Consider the following 16,924-nt stretch of genomic DNA (forward strand, 5'->3'; position numbering starts at 1 on the left):
AATGGGAAGCCCGTGGAGGAGATACTCTGTAAAAATCCATCTCCCATGTGGGCTTGACCCCACTTAGTGTCTGAGTGGTTTGGTCCTCATAGTTCTCTTGGGGGAGGAGGAAGGGAAGGAGGAGGAGGTGGCGATGGCAGTGGCAGCAGTGGTGGCATCTTGGACCAGAGTGAGAAATCTTGGACCAGAGACAAAAGAGGTCTTCTCTCAGGGTAGTGCACCATGAGAGGGAGCACCTGTTTACATTTTGTATCCTGGACACCAATCTTGCCTTGCTCTGGTGCTGGCCCTGAGAGGTGCAGGAATTTTATAAAGAGATTTACAAAACATTTTTGGATGACCAAATTGGTCCCTGGTTCTAGCTGGAATGAATAAACAAACTAAATAACAGTAGAGTGTGAGAGTAAGTGTGTGTGCTAGAGAATGTGTGCACATGTATGGCCTAGGTGAGTTCTTCACTTTGCTGACTTGTGAATTATTTGGGGTCCTATGGTCCTCCCCATCATTCTTATTCATGTCAGTCCACCATCATTAAGGAAGTGGAAGCGAACACATTGTGTACATATCACTCCCATAGAGAGGGAGACTGGGGAAGAGGTTTGAGTTATAAGTCGCACCTAGGTTAGGTCTGGATGTGTCTTTGCAGGTTTCCTTGCTAGTTCCTTGGCCAGAGTTTCCATCGTGTCCCTCAGCTGCACAATTAAGGTGCCCCCGTTTTGTGCAAGTCTCATGCTAGGCAGTATGAGATGACACAAACTAGGATTCTGTTGTGAGATAAGATAAAAACACTTGACATTTAAAAGAGAGAGACAACTTATGCGGTGTGACGAGACACTCTACGACTTTTGCCAGAAGAGAAATAGAGGCAACAAGTGCTAGGAGCTCAGAGGAGGGTAAGTTCCACATTTGGAACTTTGGATTAAAAGAATATTTGGGTCTGGTTGAAATCGAGGCCTTTCATGAGAAATGTCCACACTTGCTCAGTACTGTTTGCCGAACACTGTATACAAGGCCCTCGACTCGTGAATGAGTTGTAATGCAAAACTTTGCCAGGCATTTGGAATGTGGAGTATACTATTTTGTAAAGATGAGGTCTGAATGGTGGTTTAGGTCCCAGGCCAGTGTCCCTCTGCCCCCCACCTCCATATGTGCCCTCAAGCCGGTTTGGCTTAGACATTATTTATCTCTGACTACTGTGTACAGCTTAGTTCCATGGGGAGGAAAAGGCTTGATGAACCCTACCCTGGAAGGCTGGTGGCTCTGTTTTCTGATGGATGAGGTAGGAGTGGTGGAAAGCTGGTAGTTTCTACTTTGTGCCTGTTTAAAAAGCCCCCTCTGAGGCCTTAGCACTTAACAGATGTTCAGGATTGGGGGAATAAAGGAGCTGCCTTTGCAGAGGTCTGTGGGCATGCAGTGGGTGAGAGAGCAGGCACTGAGTGCCCCGAGTTTCCTGCCTGTGTGGGCAGGAGGATTCTCAGTGGAATCAGGAGCATCTCCGCCTGGTGCTGGAGGAGGTGTGGAGTTGAAGGTGGGATTCTTCCTCTTGAAGGACTTGAATGAGTTTCTGTGTGGCTGAACAGAAACTGGTTCAACACCCATGTCATGATTTTTGTGAAGCGAGGACTTGGGGTCCCAAGTCTAGGTTTTAGGTTCCCTGCTGTAACCCGTGGCCACCGAGAGAGAGTTTTATGATAAAATGTCAGCAAAGTACCTGACAACGTCTCACGCTAGAATGAGTTTCGTACATGTTTAGTTCCCTCTCTTTTTATTCCACGCTCCCCCACCCCAACTTTAAATCAGAAACGTGAGGGTGCTGATTGAAGCTTTTTATAACTTTTCTTATTGAGAATTGTTCTCTGGAGTTGTCTCCAAGAACAAAGGAATTCCAGACGTTCTTCTTCTCTCCTTGTCTCTTCTGTCCTCCAGTCAAAGAAAAACTCTGCATATGATCTTTGGCCTGGAGAAATATTAAATCTATGTTAAGTATGCAGACATGAATGGGCAAATGAAGGATTTGTGGCAAAGAAGATCTGCCGAAACAAATAAGTCATGTAAATGGGCAGAGGGAAATATTAAATTGATTGCATCTTTCAGCTCCTGGTACTTAATGCAAAGATAAAGTAGTGGGAAAAGGTTGTCATTTGAAATAATGGAAAGATGAGGGAGTTTTGAAGCTAGCTGGGATTTTTCTGCCTGTTAATAGAGTGACTTGGATTACAGACTATAAAGATAAAGAGTAGGGCCGTTGCATTTAGTATGGATCATGATGCTGATTGCTGTCTGAGCAACCTCTGTACTAAGGGAGGAGAAGCTAACATCCCCGGGCCTGGAAGATACTGGATACTAGCTCATTAAACTCTTGTGAGAAGCCTTCATTAGCATTATGGGAAGACTTGCTGTATCTATATTATGAAGGCATTTAGATTTTTTTTTAAATGCATGTTCTTAACATTTTTTGTTTATTAAGTGGGGCAGTAGATTAGGACTGAATGGATTTGATTCTCTCATCCTACATAGTGTGCCCAGAAGCCAGAAGGTTTCCCAGAATTTGTATTATGGCAGCGAGGGCAAATTTAATTAGCAGATAGGAAAAGCTTTGGAGCAGTTTAGGCCAATCCATTTAATTGTATCAGCAATTAATATTTTGAGAAAATGGAAATAATTAAATTTACATTTCTTCTAGGACTTTATTTTGTTATCCTTTAAGGTTATTGTAAATGAGGAGACTTTTGAACTCACAGACTAAAGCAAACTACACCAGATAATCATTAACTTTTTCTATTGTGTGCCACCCTTCCCAACCAGATTGTTCCATAGTATCACTTATGAACCAAGAACCTGTGAGCTTGCAAAACGCATTTTTAAGGAGTCTCAACTTTTCTGATTTGTGTTAAAGTTTAGGTGTGGGTCCCAGAAATGAGTTTCATGGAGGGGAGAGGTTGTCTCTCTGGGTGGGTAATACAGGGGCCACTGGGGGCTCACTGTGGCTTTCTGGCACAGACATTTATGAAGCAGGGGTGACTAAAGTGGGAGAGAGCAGCCAGTTCTCCAGCAGCCCCAGTGAGAGCTCTCATGGATCTGCCTATTGCACTGGGGTAGGAGCCATCACCGTCAGCTTTTCTCTGGCCCACAGTGCCATTTTCTGATTAAGCTGAGACCTCTGTAATAGACACGTTGTCATTTTTTCTTGTGTCTAAAAGTTTGCTTGACTGCAGTGGGTCTCCAGCTCAGAGCAGGTCTGGCTAGAGAAAACAGGAGGTGATGACTGGAGCACTTTGCCCTTATGGAACGTGCTCTGATGTAGAAAGCAAGAGGATTTTCCTTGCAGTCACTGAAGGTACCTTGTGTACACAGAAAGAAGACAGAGGGAGCCCCGGATGCCTCGGTATCCCTCAGAGCCGGATCCTTCAGACCTGTGCAGTACCTGTGGATTTGGTTAGTCGATGATGCGCTGCCATTAAAACAAAGGCATCGGCCCTGGAATAGAGAAGTTCAGTGAGAACCTCTGTACTCCATGGGCATTTTCTAGGAAATAATTTCACCTGCCCTGTGTAATTCTCTGGAAGAATCACAGTGAGTTGGAAGGAAACTTAAGACTTGGAAAAGGATTGAGAGGTTAGCCCAGACCACACCAGGGCTCTGAAGGCCCAGCTGGGGTTAGAACCTGGGACACCCTCCAGCCCACTGTCTCCTGTTCCCTGGCCATTTACTGCCCCACTCCCCTTTCTACTCTCAGGGGCCCTGGATCTAATGAGGGGATTCGTGCAGTTTGCTGCACTAATACATTGCAAGTGGTGCCAACCTAAAGGTATTCTGATGGTGGAATCAGAGCAGTAGCATCTTATTAGGTCAGAATCTGTATCTCCTCTTCCAAGATTTTTACATGATTTAGTGTTTTCTGAATTGGAAAAAAACAAAAACAAAAACACACAAAAAAACCATGTCTAAATCCTAGCATTTCATCCCATGTTGATGAAAGGGCATCTTTTTTTTCCCCTAATCTGTGGTTAGAACTCTCAGAAACTTTTAGAAGATCCCTCCTATGTTTTGGAGGTTTGCAGATTTGAACCCCAGTTCCTCCCACAGTGCTTCTCCAACTCCTGGAATGAGGTAAACCTCCAGGCAGCCTGTTGACCCAACCCATGCATGCCGGTCTTTGGGACTCCTAGATGTGGACCCTGGAGTGAATAGGGATCAGGTGGGAAATGAGTTCCTTTGATCAAGATCCTTGTACCAGTGAACTGACCCCACTCCCCGTCTGGATTCCTGTGGTGATTACCCTCTGTATTAGTCTGTTTTCATGCTGCTGATAAAGACGTACCCAAGACTGTGAAGAAAAAGAGGTTTTAATTGGACTTACAATTCCACATGGCTGGGGAGGCCTCAGAATCATGGCAGGAGGCAAAAGGTACTTCTTACATGGTGGCAGCAAGAGAAAATGTGGAAGAAGCAAAAGTGGAAACCCTGATAAACCCATCAGATCTCGTCAGACTTATTCACTATCATGAGAATAGCACGGGAAAGACCAGCCCTCATGATTCAATTACCTCACCTGGGTCCTTCCCATAACACATGAAAATTCTGGGAGACACAATTCAAGTTGAGATTTGGGCGGGGACACAGCCAAATCATATCACCCTCTTAGCAAGGACTGTGTTCGTGATCATGACTGGCATTCACTGAACAATGACTAGGTGCCAGGCACCTCGCCAGTATTCTTTAATCTTTGCACAGTCTGTAGGGTGGATATGGATATTACTGTTCCATTTTTTGTGGAAGAGGAAATGGAGGCAAGAGACCTGATTATAACTTGTGCAAGGTGCCATGCAGCTAAGCAGCCAGCCCAAATCCAGACCTGCTTTCCTATGATTTTCCTGCCCATTACTCTCCCATCGTAGCTCACCTAATACTTCCTAGTGGGCTGCTGCTGAACACACACCCAGGGATGACTTAGTGGCTTGTCTTGCTCTGAAGAAGGCTAGGCACCATGTTGGATGAGTTCTTGAAGATGTCTTGCTCTAGTCAAGAAACTTTTAAATCTTTGGAGTTTTTGTCCACATCTGCCTAGTTCTTAGTAAACATGATGTGGGTTCTATTAGCATGGCGCCCTCCCTCCCTTCCTACCACCTTTATATGAGCGGAGAACATCTATGACTCTTATGAGAAAGGAAAGATGAAAATCAGAGTGACATAGTATAGTTAAATTGCAGATGCTTAATTATAAAACAGCTTGTTTCTGAATTTTAATTCCTTGCTTTTCTCTGACTTTTTAAATTCCCCTCCTTAGGCAGAATTCATTTTTACATTGATGATTTTTTTTTTTTTTTTTTTTTTTTGAGATAGAGTCTTGCTCTTGTCACCCCGGCTGGAGTGCAATGGTGTGATCTTGGCTCACTGCAACTTCCGCCTCCCGGGTTCAGGCAATTCTCCTGCCTCAGCCTCCTGAGTAGCTGGGATTACAGGCATCTGTCACCATGCCCGGCTAATTTTTTGTATTTTTAGTAGAGATGGGGTTTCACCATGTTGGCCAGGCAGGTCTCGAACTCCTGACCTCAGGTGATCCACCCACCTTGGCCTCCCAAAGTGCTGGGATTCTAGGTGTGAGCCGCCACACCTGGCCTGATGAATTATTTTCATGTGTGGAACAAAACTTTGATGCTGATCAGTGATTAGGTACCTTTGTTTGGTTCATTTTTAACTAAGGAGATTTCTTTCTTTTTAAAACCATTCTTTAATCTTGTAAAAATATCATTTAATGGGTGGATGTTTTAGCTGTGATGAATGACAGGTTGTCGTAAAGGAAGAAAGGTATGTGGTTTCCAGTAAACTTTTAATTCTTTTGCAAAATAAAAATAACAGTCGTACAGAGAGTAAAATATATGAAGAGTCAGGAAGTGATTTATCAAAATCAGATCTTGGACTGCTGGTTTTACCATGAATTAGGCTCTTGGAAAGTGATTGGGCCAGTGTAGGTTTACATTTTTTTTTTCTTGTTTTATTTGTCAAAGCAAACTTGTGGTTGCCTGCCCGTAGTTTAATTCTGCCTCCTTTGGGCAAACAACCGACTTTTACTGGGAGTCTTTCTCAGGGAGATAAAGGTGCACCCTGAAACTCTGCTCTCTGATTCCTCAGCAAAGTCAGTCCTGAGTATGGGGCTTGGGTGTCTCTGCAAGGCCTTGCAAGTGAGATGGGCTGTCACCTGAGCTCAGGTGGGGCTGCTCCTGCCTTGGACAGCCTCCCCAGCTTCTCCTGCATTATACCCAGGGGCTGGAGGGCAGAGAGCAGGTCTTCTTCTGCTGGTCGGGGCAGTCACAGGCTTTCCTCTCGGCCTGCTTGTCCTCCGGGTGGGTCCAGCACCCGCTGGGATTCCTGTGGGCTTAGTCACTGTGTGGCGGCGGCAGAAGGACTGGGGAAACCGCCGGCCGGCCCTGGTGCGCTGTCACCCCGAAGGAATGCGGGCCAGGCCGGGGCTGCTGGGCCTGGAAAGTTCTCCAGTCCCTGTTGCAGATCTGGCCTGCCGACTCAAAGTAAATCTCTCTTCCCCTTTATTTCCCATCAAATAAAAAAGGAACACGAGGTAGCCACTGTACTCACTGAAGATGCATTGTTTTTTTTTTTTTTTTTTTTTTAAGCGAGCAGCAGCAAGATTTATTGTGAAGAGTGAAAGAACAAAGCTTCCACAGCATGGAAAGGGACCCAAGCGGGTTGCCCTGAAGATGCATTTTTTAACTTGCTTTTTAACTAAGTATTTTTGCTCTGAGCTTTCCTGGATCTGTAAACACACCCCCAGCTATTCAAGATGGGCTTCTTGGTGAAAAGTGATGTGTCCTAGGAGAAATCACGCCTGTTGTTGCCGCTGGCCATCACAGATCCCGGTGCCTGTCTGTGAAAGGCTGGCCGGGCTGGGTGGGGATGAGAATGGTCGGGTTGTCTAGACTCAGCCTGGACTGTCTTTGACTGGAGGGGCCTGAGCTCCTCCTCCACTGCTCAAGACCCCGGTTAAGGGGACAGCAGAGCAGGGATGAGAAGTGGCCCTCTTCACATCACCTCCCAGCAAGAGGGCCTGACTTAGTGCTCCCACCATTGCCAGCCCCAGTTTCAGGGTCCCACTCAGTTGTATTTGAATAGGTCTCATGACATGTGCTTTGCTTGAAGAGCGGCTATTAGCAGCAGACGTTCAAGAGGCTGAGCTCAAGCAGGTGAGCATGTTCTGAGCCATTGTGAACCCAGTGAGGTGCCTATGCTGATGCCCAGGGCCGCCTGGGCGGGGTCAGGCCCCCATCGCTTCTTCATCCTAGCTCTGGGAGTGCATTCTGCACTCTCCCGAGGCCAGCTGGTGGCCTTTGGTGATCACCCTCTCTGTAAGTTTTTAAGTGGCTTCCTTTCCTCTGGTGGAGAAGCCAGCACCTTTATCCTATGACAAGAAAGCTCTTTGTAGTAGGTGGTAGTAGAATCAGACAGATCTGGCTTAAAATCTTGGCTGTGCTACCTCTTGGCTCTGCACATTGGTGAAGAGAATTTACCTTCCTAAGGCCTCTCAGCTACACGACTGTGGACACTCAGCTTCCTTCTAAGGTCGTTGTGAGAGGTAAAGAAAAGGGGTTAGTCCAGGGCCAGACATGGCACAATGCCTCAATGAAATATTAGCTGATACTATCATAATTTTTAAATTCCCATAGGACTCACTGTTAAAGGATTACAAGGCTGACACAAAAAATACTGCATTTTGAATTTGTGTCTGATTTATACATTTCCAAAGAGTGGAATTCTCACTACAACAGCTGTTCTTTGAAAGGTTAGATCTTTGTTCTGAGATAAATTAAGTGGAAAAAGGTGTAGAGCATTATATGTACTCTGATTCTTCAGGGCTTAATTTAAAAAGAGCATGTTTGCTGGTGAATGCTGGTTCAATCATTAAGAAGTTTTTGAGAAGGAATCCCAGAAAGTAATAAGCACTTATTTTTCATGGAAAGGAACCGGAAGTGCTTGGTGACCTCCACAGGTAATCTTGTATTATTTTTGCACTGTTTGGAATTTTTTAACCATGTGCTTTTATTTCTTCTATTCTTTTCAAAGGTCAGTAGGTGTTATCTGGACAATAGGGTTCTGGTCTGTTTTCTGTTTTCTTCATTGTACTGTGCATTAAGAAAAACCCTAATGTGCTTTTTTTTTTTTTTAAGTGAACCTTTCCACATCTCATTGTCCTTCAGTGAGAGCAGGCTGTGTGTGTGGTCTTGGTGAACTGTCCCGTTCCCTGGAGACAGTATCTGGGGGCCTCCCTGCCCTTCCCAGTAAGAGCTGGGCCTTCACAGGAATAGAGGCCTAGGATTCGCCTTCATCCTCTTGAAGAGCCCTAACAGTAGGTCCTGGCTGGGGTCTGGCATAGAATGCCCTTGGCACGATGTGTGTGAGTGTGTCTTTCCTTAGTAAATGGCCTTGAAAATGCCATGTGCTTCTGGCAGGCCTGGATAAGGTTTGCCCTGCATAACCCTTGGAAAGCACAGTTCTCACTTGTAACACCCTGTCTGCAGGTCCATGATATTGTAATTAAAAAGTTATGGGATCACAAGGGCCTATTTAAAGGGCATCTGGTCTAAAGGCACAGTTAAAAGCAGAATTTGTGTCAGTGGCTCCCTTAATTTCTCAAATATGGTTCTGTTTCTAAATTCATCCCACTGGATGTCTGTGTTGAGTTTTCTGTTGATGAAAGAATGTTTAAAAATGAGGCAGATCCAAATTCTAATGTCTGAGTGTACCACTGCTTAATTACTTTGGGCAGGTCACCTCACCTCTCTTGGAAAGAAAGGTGATATACTACATCTGTGATTTTCAATTTTTTTTTTTTTAACTAGACCCACAGTAAAACATAGATATACACCATGATCCCAGGACAGAATAAGTATATAACTAAAATAAGTGTTTTGAAATCACTTCTTGTCTGACACAGCACTCACGCTTTCTATTCATGTAGTACCACGATACTTTCTTCTATTCTAATGCTGGTAAGAGATGCCTTAAACTGATTTTGAGAACTACCAATGGGTAGCAGCTAGCGGCTTAAAAAGGATGTTATTAAGGTCCTTTTCACCCTGATTTTGACTCTGTTGGCTCTCAGCTGAGTGCCCCATACTTAGTGCACATAGAGTTGGCCTCTGAGGTCAGCCTCCTGTTTTCCTGTGAAAATGAGGATGGAAGAGAGTCACTTGTTTCCCTCCTTCATGGCTACCCCCTGAGGACTGGGAAGAATTTAAGAATTTGAGTATATGTTCCCAATAGCATGATGTGTTTCATTGTTCATCTGTAAGCATTTTTAAATATTCGAGATCTGTATCTTGGGTAATTTTTATCAACTTTTTATTTGTAAAATAATTTCAAGTCAGTTATTAAAGTAACAAAAATAATGGCAAACTTGATACCTTCCCGTATTTTTTTTTCATATTTTTCCTTGAATGCTTACAGAAATATTAAAGAATATTATCACATCATTGTAGTCACCGATGAATTATTTTCTGGTGGCTTATGATTAGAAGAGCTTGACTCGGAGTGGAAACAGATAACATTTGAGTGCTCTTTCTGTTAATTCATCCTTGTCAATAACCCCATTAGCTAACTTCCAGCAAGGCTGTGTTAGGAATGTGGAATCAATTAGATGAATTTTGAAAATAACTTGGTCTGTTCTAAAAGGCCCTATGAGATCCAAACTGTTGTGGCCTGGTGCCTGGTAACTTTGATGGCCATTTTGAAATGTTACCGTAGTGATAATTCTTCTGGAATCTCAAGTCATTAAAAGTGATATGGCTAACTCTGGGCCCTGTGCTATAAAAATAGATGTCATGGGATGTGTGAATCCTTTCTTCAGTGTTATAGTTAATAGCAACTGAAGGAACGTTTTGGTCAAATCCCGAATACTTATTAGGGGCTCACTGCTTGGCTGCATTTTTCTCCTCTGCGTAAATCATCTATCCATGTAATTATTAACCCCTAAGAATGAATAGCATTTTTAAAAGGGTTCCATTTTCCCCTCATATGACTTTGGTTCATTCTCCTCCTTGTTTCTGTCTCTCAGTGAACTTTCCAAAAGATGGGTTATGATGAAAGGTGAATCGTCGTTGATAACTGCTCTTACTTATCTGTGTATCGAAACTGCAGGTAGTGCTCTTCAGCTCTGTGGCTGGATTTAGTGCCTCTTCTAGGGAGGGGTGGGTGTTGGCACAAAGCGTATCCCATTTCCCTGAATGTCGTGTGGACACGTGAGAGGACAGTGCACCCTTTGGGCTTGGTGCTGCCCCCTTCACGCTACTGAACCCCAGGGTCATAATTAAAAGCTGTGTTAGCTCTTCTCTGGTTAGAGGCATACAGGTTGGAGGCTTGTACATAGCCGTGAGCCGGTTGGTCTAGGCCAGGAAGCAAACCATTGGAAAATGTGGTTAGCAGTGACAGTTGACAGCATGTTTGCCTGCAGTAGTGGTGGTTGGTGCTGCGTGTTGACTGGAGTTGCTTGCATTGGGAGAGCCTGACTTGGCCAAGTGTGTAGCTTGAGACCAGTTGGATTCCTCTCAGAGAGACAGTCTTCACCCCCAAGCTCTGGGTGTTGGGCGTGCAGCATTCGTATTCAGCAAACATTTGCTGATTTCCGCCTCTGCAACTACTGAGCTCAGCTTTGGGGATCTGAAGATGAATAGACACAGCCACACTTCTGGGGAAATCTCCCTGTGGGGAGGCTGACATGGAAACCAACCAAATGGGAGTGTGGTGCATATCTTATTAGAGCTTTGTGCAAAGTGCCACAGGAAGCAGGAGAAGGGGTAGATTGGTGTGGAGGGGGCAGGGGAAGACTTGCCTAGGAGCAGGGCCTCGCAGGATGCAGAGGAGTTTGCCAAGTACCAGAGATTGTGGGGTAGGTGAATAAAGGCTGAGTATAAGGATAAGTCAATTCAGGCAGATGTCCTCTAAGAATGAAGGTGAGAATGCTGGCGGAAACCAGTTGTGGCCCTGTCTGCCTTCCCTAGGAGACTGGACCTGACTTTACAGGCAGTGACGGTGAAGCAGGGCAGTGCCACGAGCAGATCTGTGTTTCCTGAAGGGTCTCTGGCAGCTGTCTGGGGAAGGAGGGAAGCTGGCAGAGCCGTGGGTGGAGGCAGATGCCATTGCTATGGAGTGAGCATGGGGAAGGGGGTCGGAGGCCTTTTGGAGATAGATACAGCAAGACTTGGTGAAGGATGAAGTTGGGGCAGGTAGAGGAAAAGCAATGAGCTTACGGATGACTGGAGACTGACTGGAGAAGATGACCACCCTTGCCATTAACTAGGATAGGAAACAACAAAGGGTAGGAGTTTGACAGGGGAGAATGTTTGTGCTGTTGAGTTGTTGAGTTTAGGTGCTTGTGGCACGAGCAAGGGGAGTGAGCTGGTCTAGGAGGTTTTTGGAAACACTGACCTGGCTGCAGAGAGGGAGATCCTGGGACACCTGTTTTGGGAGTTATCCCAGTGGGGAAGGATCACTGGGAAGGGGGCCACCCCTTTGGGAGGGGTCAGTGGGACGACTCCCAAGGGAAGAGGTTGGTTATAGGGAGTTAAAAGAAAGGAGCACCCCTCACGCGAGCCCATTTTTCAAGGATACATGTTTGTCTTTTAGATTCTATAAGGAGTAGCTGCTACACAGAAAGATGTCTACGTGTGGGTGAACACCTGGCGTATCCCATGCAGGGAGGCTTCAGCAGACCTTGGTGGCGATGGAACCACCACAGTGATCCGAGGATTGGGTCTGAAGGCTCCTCCGAGTCTCCAATAAAAGGGGTTGTTTTGAAGGGCTCAGGTTCTTCCTGGGCTTTTTTGGGACAGTCTTGCTCTGTTGCCCAGGCTGGAGTGCAGTAGAGGCAATCATGGCTTATTGCAGCCTCAGCCTCCTGCCTCTGGGCTCAAGTGATCCTTCTGCCTCAGCCTCCTGCGTGGTTGGGACTATAGGTGCATACCCCCATGCCTGGCTAATTTTTAATAGAGATGGGGTCTTGGGCTCAAGTTATCCTCCCACCTCAGTCTCCCAAAGCGCTAGGATTACAGACATGAGCCACTGTACCTGGCTGAGAAGGTTTTTTTTTTTTCCCCCTTCCAAACCCCCATGTGGTCCAGACGAGGCCAGAGGATCTCAGGGGAATTCCCTCTCCGAGGAGCCTCCACTGCTATTGCATGGCCCCCAGCATAGTCATTTGAGTGAAGAGCCCTCCAAAATCATTAAGCTGATTTGTAGAATCAGTTTGCTGTCTGACTACCTGATGAAGATGAGAAGTGGTAGACCTCCCCCCACTGTAAGGTCTTAACAAGATCTAGGTGGAACATGGGACTGTTTGCAAGCTACTTCTGTTTCTGAAATCACATGCTTGGGATCCCAAATAATCTACTGAAAGCTGTCTTCGGGAGGCAAAGCCCAGGGATTTGTTTTGTTTGCCCCTAATCATCTCTTCCATCCCCTTTCTCAAAAGTCTTATATCTAGATAATTTAGTACATTTGATCTACTAACAGCCAGGGCCATAACAGGAGCTGATATTACATACCCCGGAAGTCCTTTGCAAACACACTGTAGTGGCGATTGATTAGTGTTCCGAGCCATAGGTAACATTAGCCTGCCTCGTAGGACCCTCAGATGCTGACCGTATCTGCTGCAATTCTTAGATGTAAAAGAGCGCGCATCGTATAAATCAAAACTAGATGATTATTTTCATTTGAAATTGTTGTTGCACTGTAATTTCTCAGGGTTTTGTATTTTCCAACAGTGGTGTCACTTAATGGGAAGATCGCTCAGGCTTTGTAACTGGGCATAATACCAGGTATTCTCGTTTAGGCATTCTGCTCAGTAGTATTAACCTGAAGCCATAGGACATGCCAATGTTTTTTTCCGTGTTTTTTAAAAAAATTAAAATGGTTGGCTACAAATGCATCCTTTTTTACTTCAGAGTAAGTCGGCCTTGGTTAAGTCTTAATATTTCTCATGCCTATTTTTTTTTCTTCAAATGAAAACATACGGAGAGAAAATAGCATGTTTATGCCTTTTGGTTGTACCCAGCACTGCCCAGAATGGCTTACAGAGTTTATACCCATGGAGGTTTCGTAAAGGTGACATTAACTTCGCAGTAAAGTCACTGACCCCGAACCTGTGTCACTTCAGGCTTAGCCAAATGCTAACAGAGCAGCTCAAAGCTTAAGCAGAGGTATGTGCTTGCTAAGTAAGTGTGTGTTTTGGACTAATTGGTGACTACCATTCTGAACATTAACTGCCCTTTGTGTTTTAATGTTGCCAGGAGGCCGATTGTGTAACCTTTGGAGGCTTCCCTGAGTTTGGAGAACTGAATTCATGTGGTGACTTCCTATTTATAATGTCTTTGGGGGAGCTATGAAATAACTTTTCTTCTAAGTGTGATTTTTGCTTTTTTAAAAGTTTTTATGTTGTTGTCAATTGGGTATTTCCCTTCTATGCCAAGACGAATTGTAGGTTCAGGTTTCTATGCAGCCTGTATGTAAACACTGGCCCTAAAGAAGGACTCTATCACTCTACTTTCAGTTTCTTGCATTAAAACAAGTATGGGTAGCGGTATCCTTCTTATTTCTGCTTCCTGGTCCTGTGTGAGACCCTGAAAGGTCCTAATGGCAGTGCTGATTAGATTGTGGCCAGGGTTCACCCACAAGTTCCGAAGCTGGGGAAGGTGGAAGTGCTGTTAACTGACTTGTCCCATGTCTGGGGTTTTGCAGCCTGGGGAGAGGTGACCACCCCTCGTTTCAGTCCAGGTAGGGTTTTATGTCCCTGTCAAAAATGTGTTGTGTGAAGTACCTTGACTTTCATTTCCCAGGGAAGAAAGCCCGTTTCAATTGGCTCAAGCGGAAAAGAGCACTGTGGGTCCACTTAATGGAAGAGTCTAAGAGTGGCTTCAGGAAGTCCACTGGGGGCTCCCCGTGACTCTGCCCACCTGCATATTGTCTTCATTCTAAGGATCCAGGTGGTAGCAAAAGGGTTGTTACAACTTTAACCCTGCATCCCCACCTTCAGGTTCAGTACCCAAGGGTGAGCAATCTGTTCCAGTGGCACAGACCTGTTTCAAGAGGTCTCTAGCCGTGATAGTGCTAGGCCACTGCCCTCCACCAGTGTGTTCCAGAGAAAGATGCTCTGATGTGCCAGCCCAGGCCATGAGGTTCCCGGCCTCAGTAAGGAAGAAGGAGGACAAGGTGGTCCCTTAGGAGAAAATGTGGATATTCAAGAAAGAGGGTCGCAAAATAGCAAACACCCACTATGGCTGGGCAGTACAGGGTTGCAGAAATATATTTTGATGTGTGATCGCATTGGAGCTACTTCAAAGAGCAAACACACCACTTTGATTTATTTCTCTTAGTGATACAGTATTTAGAGAGGGAGATACTTTTTATCTTCGTGGGATACTTACAGTGGTGCTCTAGAAGCCATGTACTGCTTCTGGCTTCTCCTTCCTTTCCTCCAAGGCTCCTCCTGCCTCCTCCCAAAGCTCTGTGCCCTGAAAGAGCCTTGAGCCATTGCTCAGATGTCAAAATTGTATTAAGCAGACACATCAAATTAAAACTTTTGGGATCACTCACCAATATGGTTTCCTGTACAGTACTGCCCTGAGGGGGGATTACAAGTAGTTATGCATCCATTTCATTGATGTATCATTTTTATTAAAAAGAAAAACAATCCAACCAAGAGAGGAAGTGTAGCCAGCTGCCTAAAGAGTGGCGATGATGGGAGATGATATTTTGATTACATTAATCCATATCCTGTTAGTTCACTTTGCTTCTGTCGCTGCTGCTGGTGAAGTTACTAATGTGAACTAATTACATTTGCTCTGAAAAGCCAGAATTTTTAATGCATCTCAGCAAGAAAGGTTAATATTATCAATTTAACAGCATGAATGAAACATTGTGTGTATTGAACTTGAACTGTCCTAAAAGCTTGGATAATAAAAACCCAGTGGCTTCTTTTATAACTCACTGGATAAACAGTTATTGGTGAGACATGGATAAGGCTTTCTTCTCTTTCAGTTTTATGGGGGGTGGTAGGCAGTCAGCATTAGATGCTGTCTGTTTACAGGGTGATATCGTAACTTCGTGAAATTGGAGGCCACATTTAAAAAGGCACTCCTTCCTTTTAAAAGCTTTGCAAGGGGGCTGCATATATTTTCCTAATTAGTGGGAATATTTTCTTTTTTCTTTTTTCTTTTTTTTTTTTGAGACAGAGTTTCACTTTATTGTCCAGGCTGGAGTGGAGTGGCATGATCTCGGCTTACTGCAACCTCTGCCTCCCGGGTTCAAGCAATTCTCATGCCTCGGCCTCCTGATTAGCTGGGATTACAGGCATCTGCCACCTCACCTGGCTGATTTTTTGTATTTTAGTAGAGACGACGTTTCACCATGTTGCCCAGGCTGGTCTTGAACTCTTAAGCTCAGGCAATCCGCCTATCTCGGGCTCCCAAAGTGCTAGGATTACAGGCGTGAGCCACCGAGCCTGGCTGGTGGGAGTATTTTCAAAGAGAACAACAATTCACCACACCCCAACATGGTAACAGTCTTTTTGTTTTAGAAGCATCTGTGAATTGCCAAGACTCGTAGAACTAAGATGTATTCAAAGTCAGTCGATTTTCTGGAAACGACCCAGTCCCTGAAGATAGTCTTTTGGGGAGTTGAGTGTTTTGAGAGGGACACCCCCTCTACAGGGACTTAAAATGGAATGGCTTTTTGTGTGTGCACATGGTACCTGCAGTGATTTCTTGTGTTTAATTACTTCCTGCACTCATCTGACTTACACAGTGGTAAACAATGAGGATGGGAACAGGCGGCAGCTGCTCTGTGCCATCCACCGTCTTGGGAACCCCAGCGTGGCATTCTCTCTGGGGCAGCATGTTGAAGTGTTTGGCTGGTGACATTTTGGTGACCAGTTGGCTCCTCATTGTCTTTCAATGTGGAGATTAGGAACCGAGCGAGGATTTGGAACCCTTGCGTTTGTTCTGCCAAGAACATGACTTGCCTCTGGCCTGAGAGCAGTGGAGTAAGCTGATAGGAGCTAGAAATACTGTTTTGGGTAGGACTTACCCAAAAGAGTGGGCTGAGTCACAGAACTCCCAAGTTTGAGCCCTGTCAAATAAATTCTGAATTGTTCTCAGGTATGTTTCTCAATTGGAATTTTTTTAAAAATTTAATTTAAAAAAGACTTCGAAAAGTTACCTTGTTCTCATTTTTCTTCTCCCTCTTTGCCCCGTCCCCACAATATCTTAGGGCGAAGAAAAGCAGGTTTGAGAAAAGCTTTTTTTCATCATGTATTTGTAATAGCTGGAGCCTGCTGAGATGATGAGGTAGAGTGGAGGGAGAAAGAGACCTTGAGGAGGTGTGGAGGGGGAAGGGGTGGAAAGTTCTGTCGTCTTCTGTGCCTCTCTCTCTCTCTTGCTCAGGGTCTCCAGTCAGCCCTCTGGGTTTGTGCCCTTCGTGCTGCACTGACAGGTCAAAGCCGACTCAGGCCTTTGATGTCTGCTCTAGGAGCAAAAGTGATTCCTGGTCCCGCAGCCGTTCCCACTGCCTTGTGTATGAAGGTCTGCTGCTCTGAGGTGGATGGTGGCTCTAGGCAGGCTGTTTCCGCTGGGTGCGGTTGTTGCTGCAGGTTTTTCTATATAGCTTGGTCATGCTCCTGTATCTAGATTAAAATCCTATGACAGATGGGCCTGCTTATATCTAAACTTATTCAGAGAGTCTTATGATAGGCAACAGGTTACCCTTTACCGGGGTAAAACATGGTTTATTCTACAGTTTGGTCCCGTTGTAAGGCCAGGAGATAGAGTCTCACTAGTTTGCCCCGGCTGAACTCAAACTGCTGGACTCAAGGGATCCTTCCGACTCAGCCTCCCAATTAGCTGGGACTGTTGGTGTCAGGCAC

The 16,924-nt window shown here is 45.2% G+C and overlaps 1 protein-coding gene across 7 annotated transcripts in view, besides 1 other annotated feature; it reads left to right on the plus strand.

Moving 5' to 3' along the window:
- IGF1R (insulin like growth factor 1 receptor) overlaps positions 1 to 16,924 on the plus strand; it is a 315,992-nt gene that overhangs the window by 72,862 nt on the left and 226,206 nt on the right. The gene's annotated exons all lie outside the window — the stretch shown is intronic.
- Positions 12,989 to 13,519: an enhancer, noted in NCBI's record as "OCT4-NANOG hESC enhancer chr15:99277618-99278148 (GRCh37/hg19 assembly coordinates)". NCBI's record gives its function as "activates a minimal SCP1, AML or CMV promoter by ChIP-STARR-seq in naive H9 embryonic stem cells {active_cell/tissue: H9 hESC(naive)}" and the evidence as "EXISTENCE:reporter gene assay evidence [ECO:0000049][PMID:30033119]".

The sequence above is a fragment of the Homo sapiens genome, chromosome 15 (genome assembly GCF_000001405.40).
Source record: "Homo sapiens chromosome 15, GRCh38.p14 Primary Assembly".
Classification (NCBI taxonomy): Eukaryota; Metazoa; Chordata; class Mammalia; order Primates; family Hominidae; genus Homo; species Homo sapiens.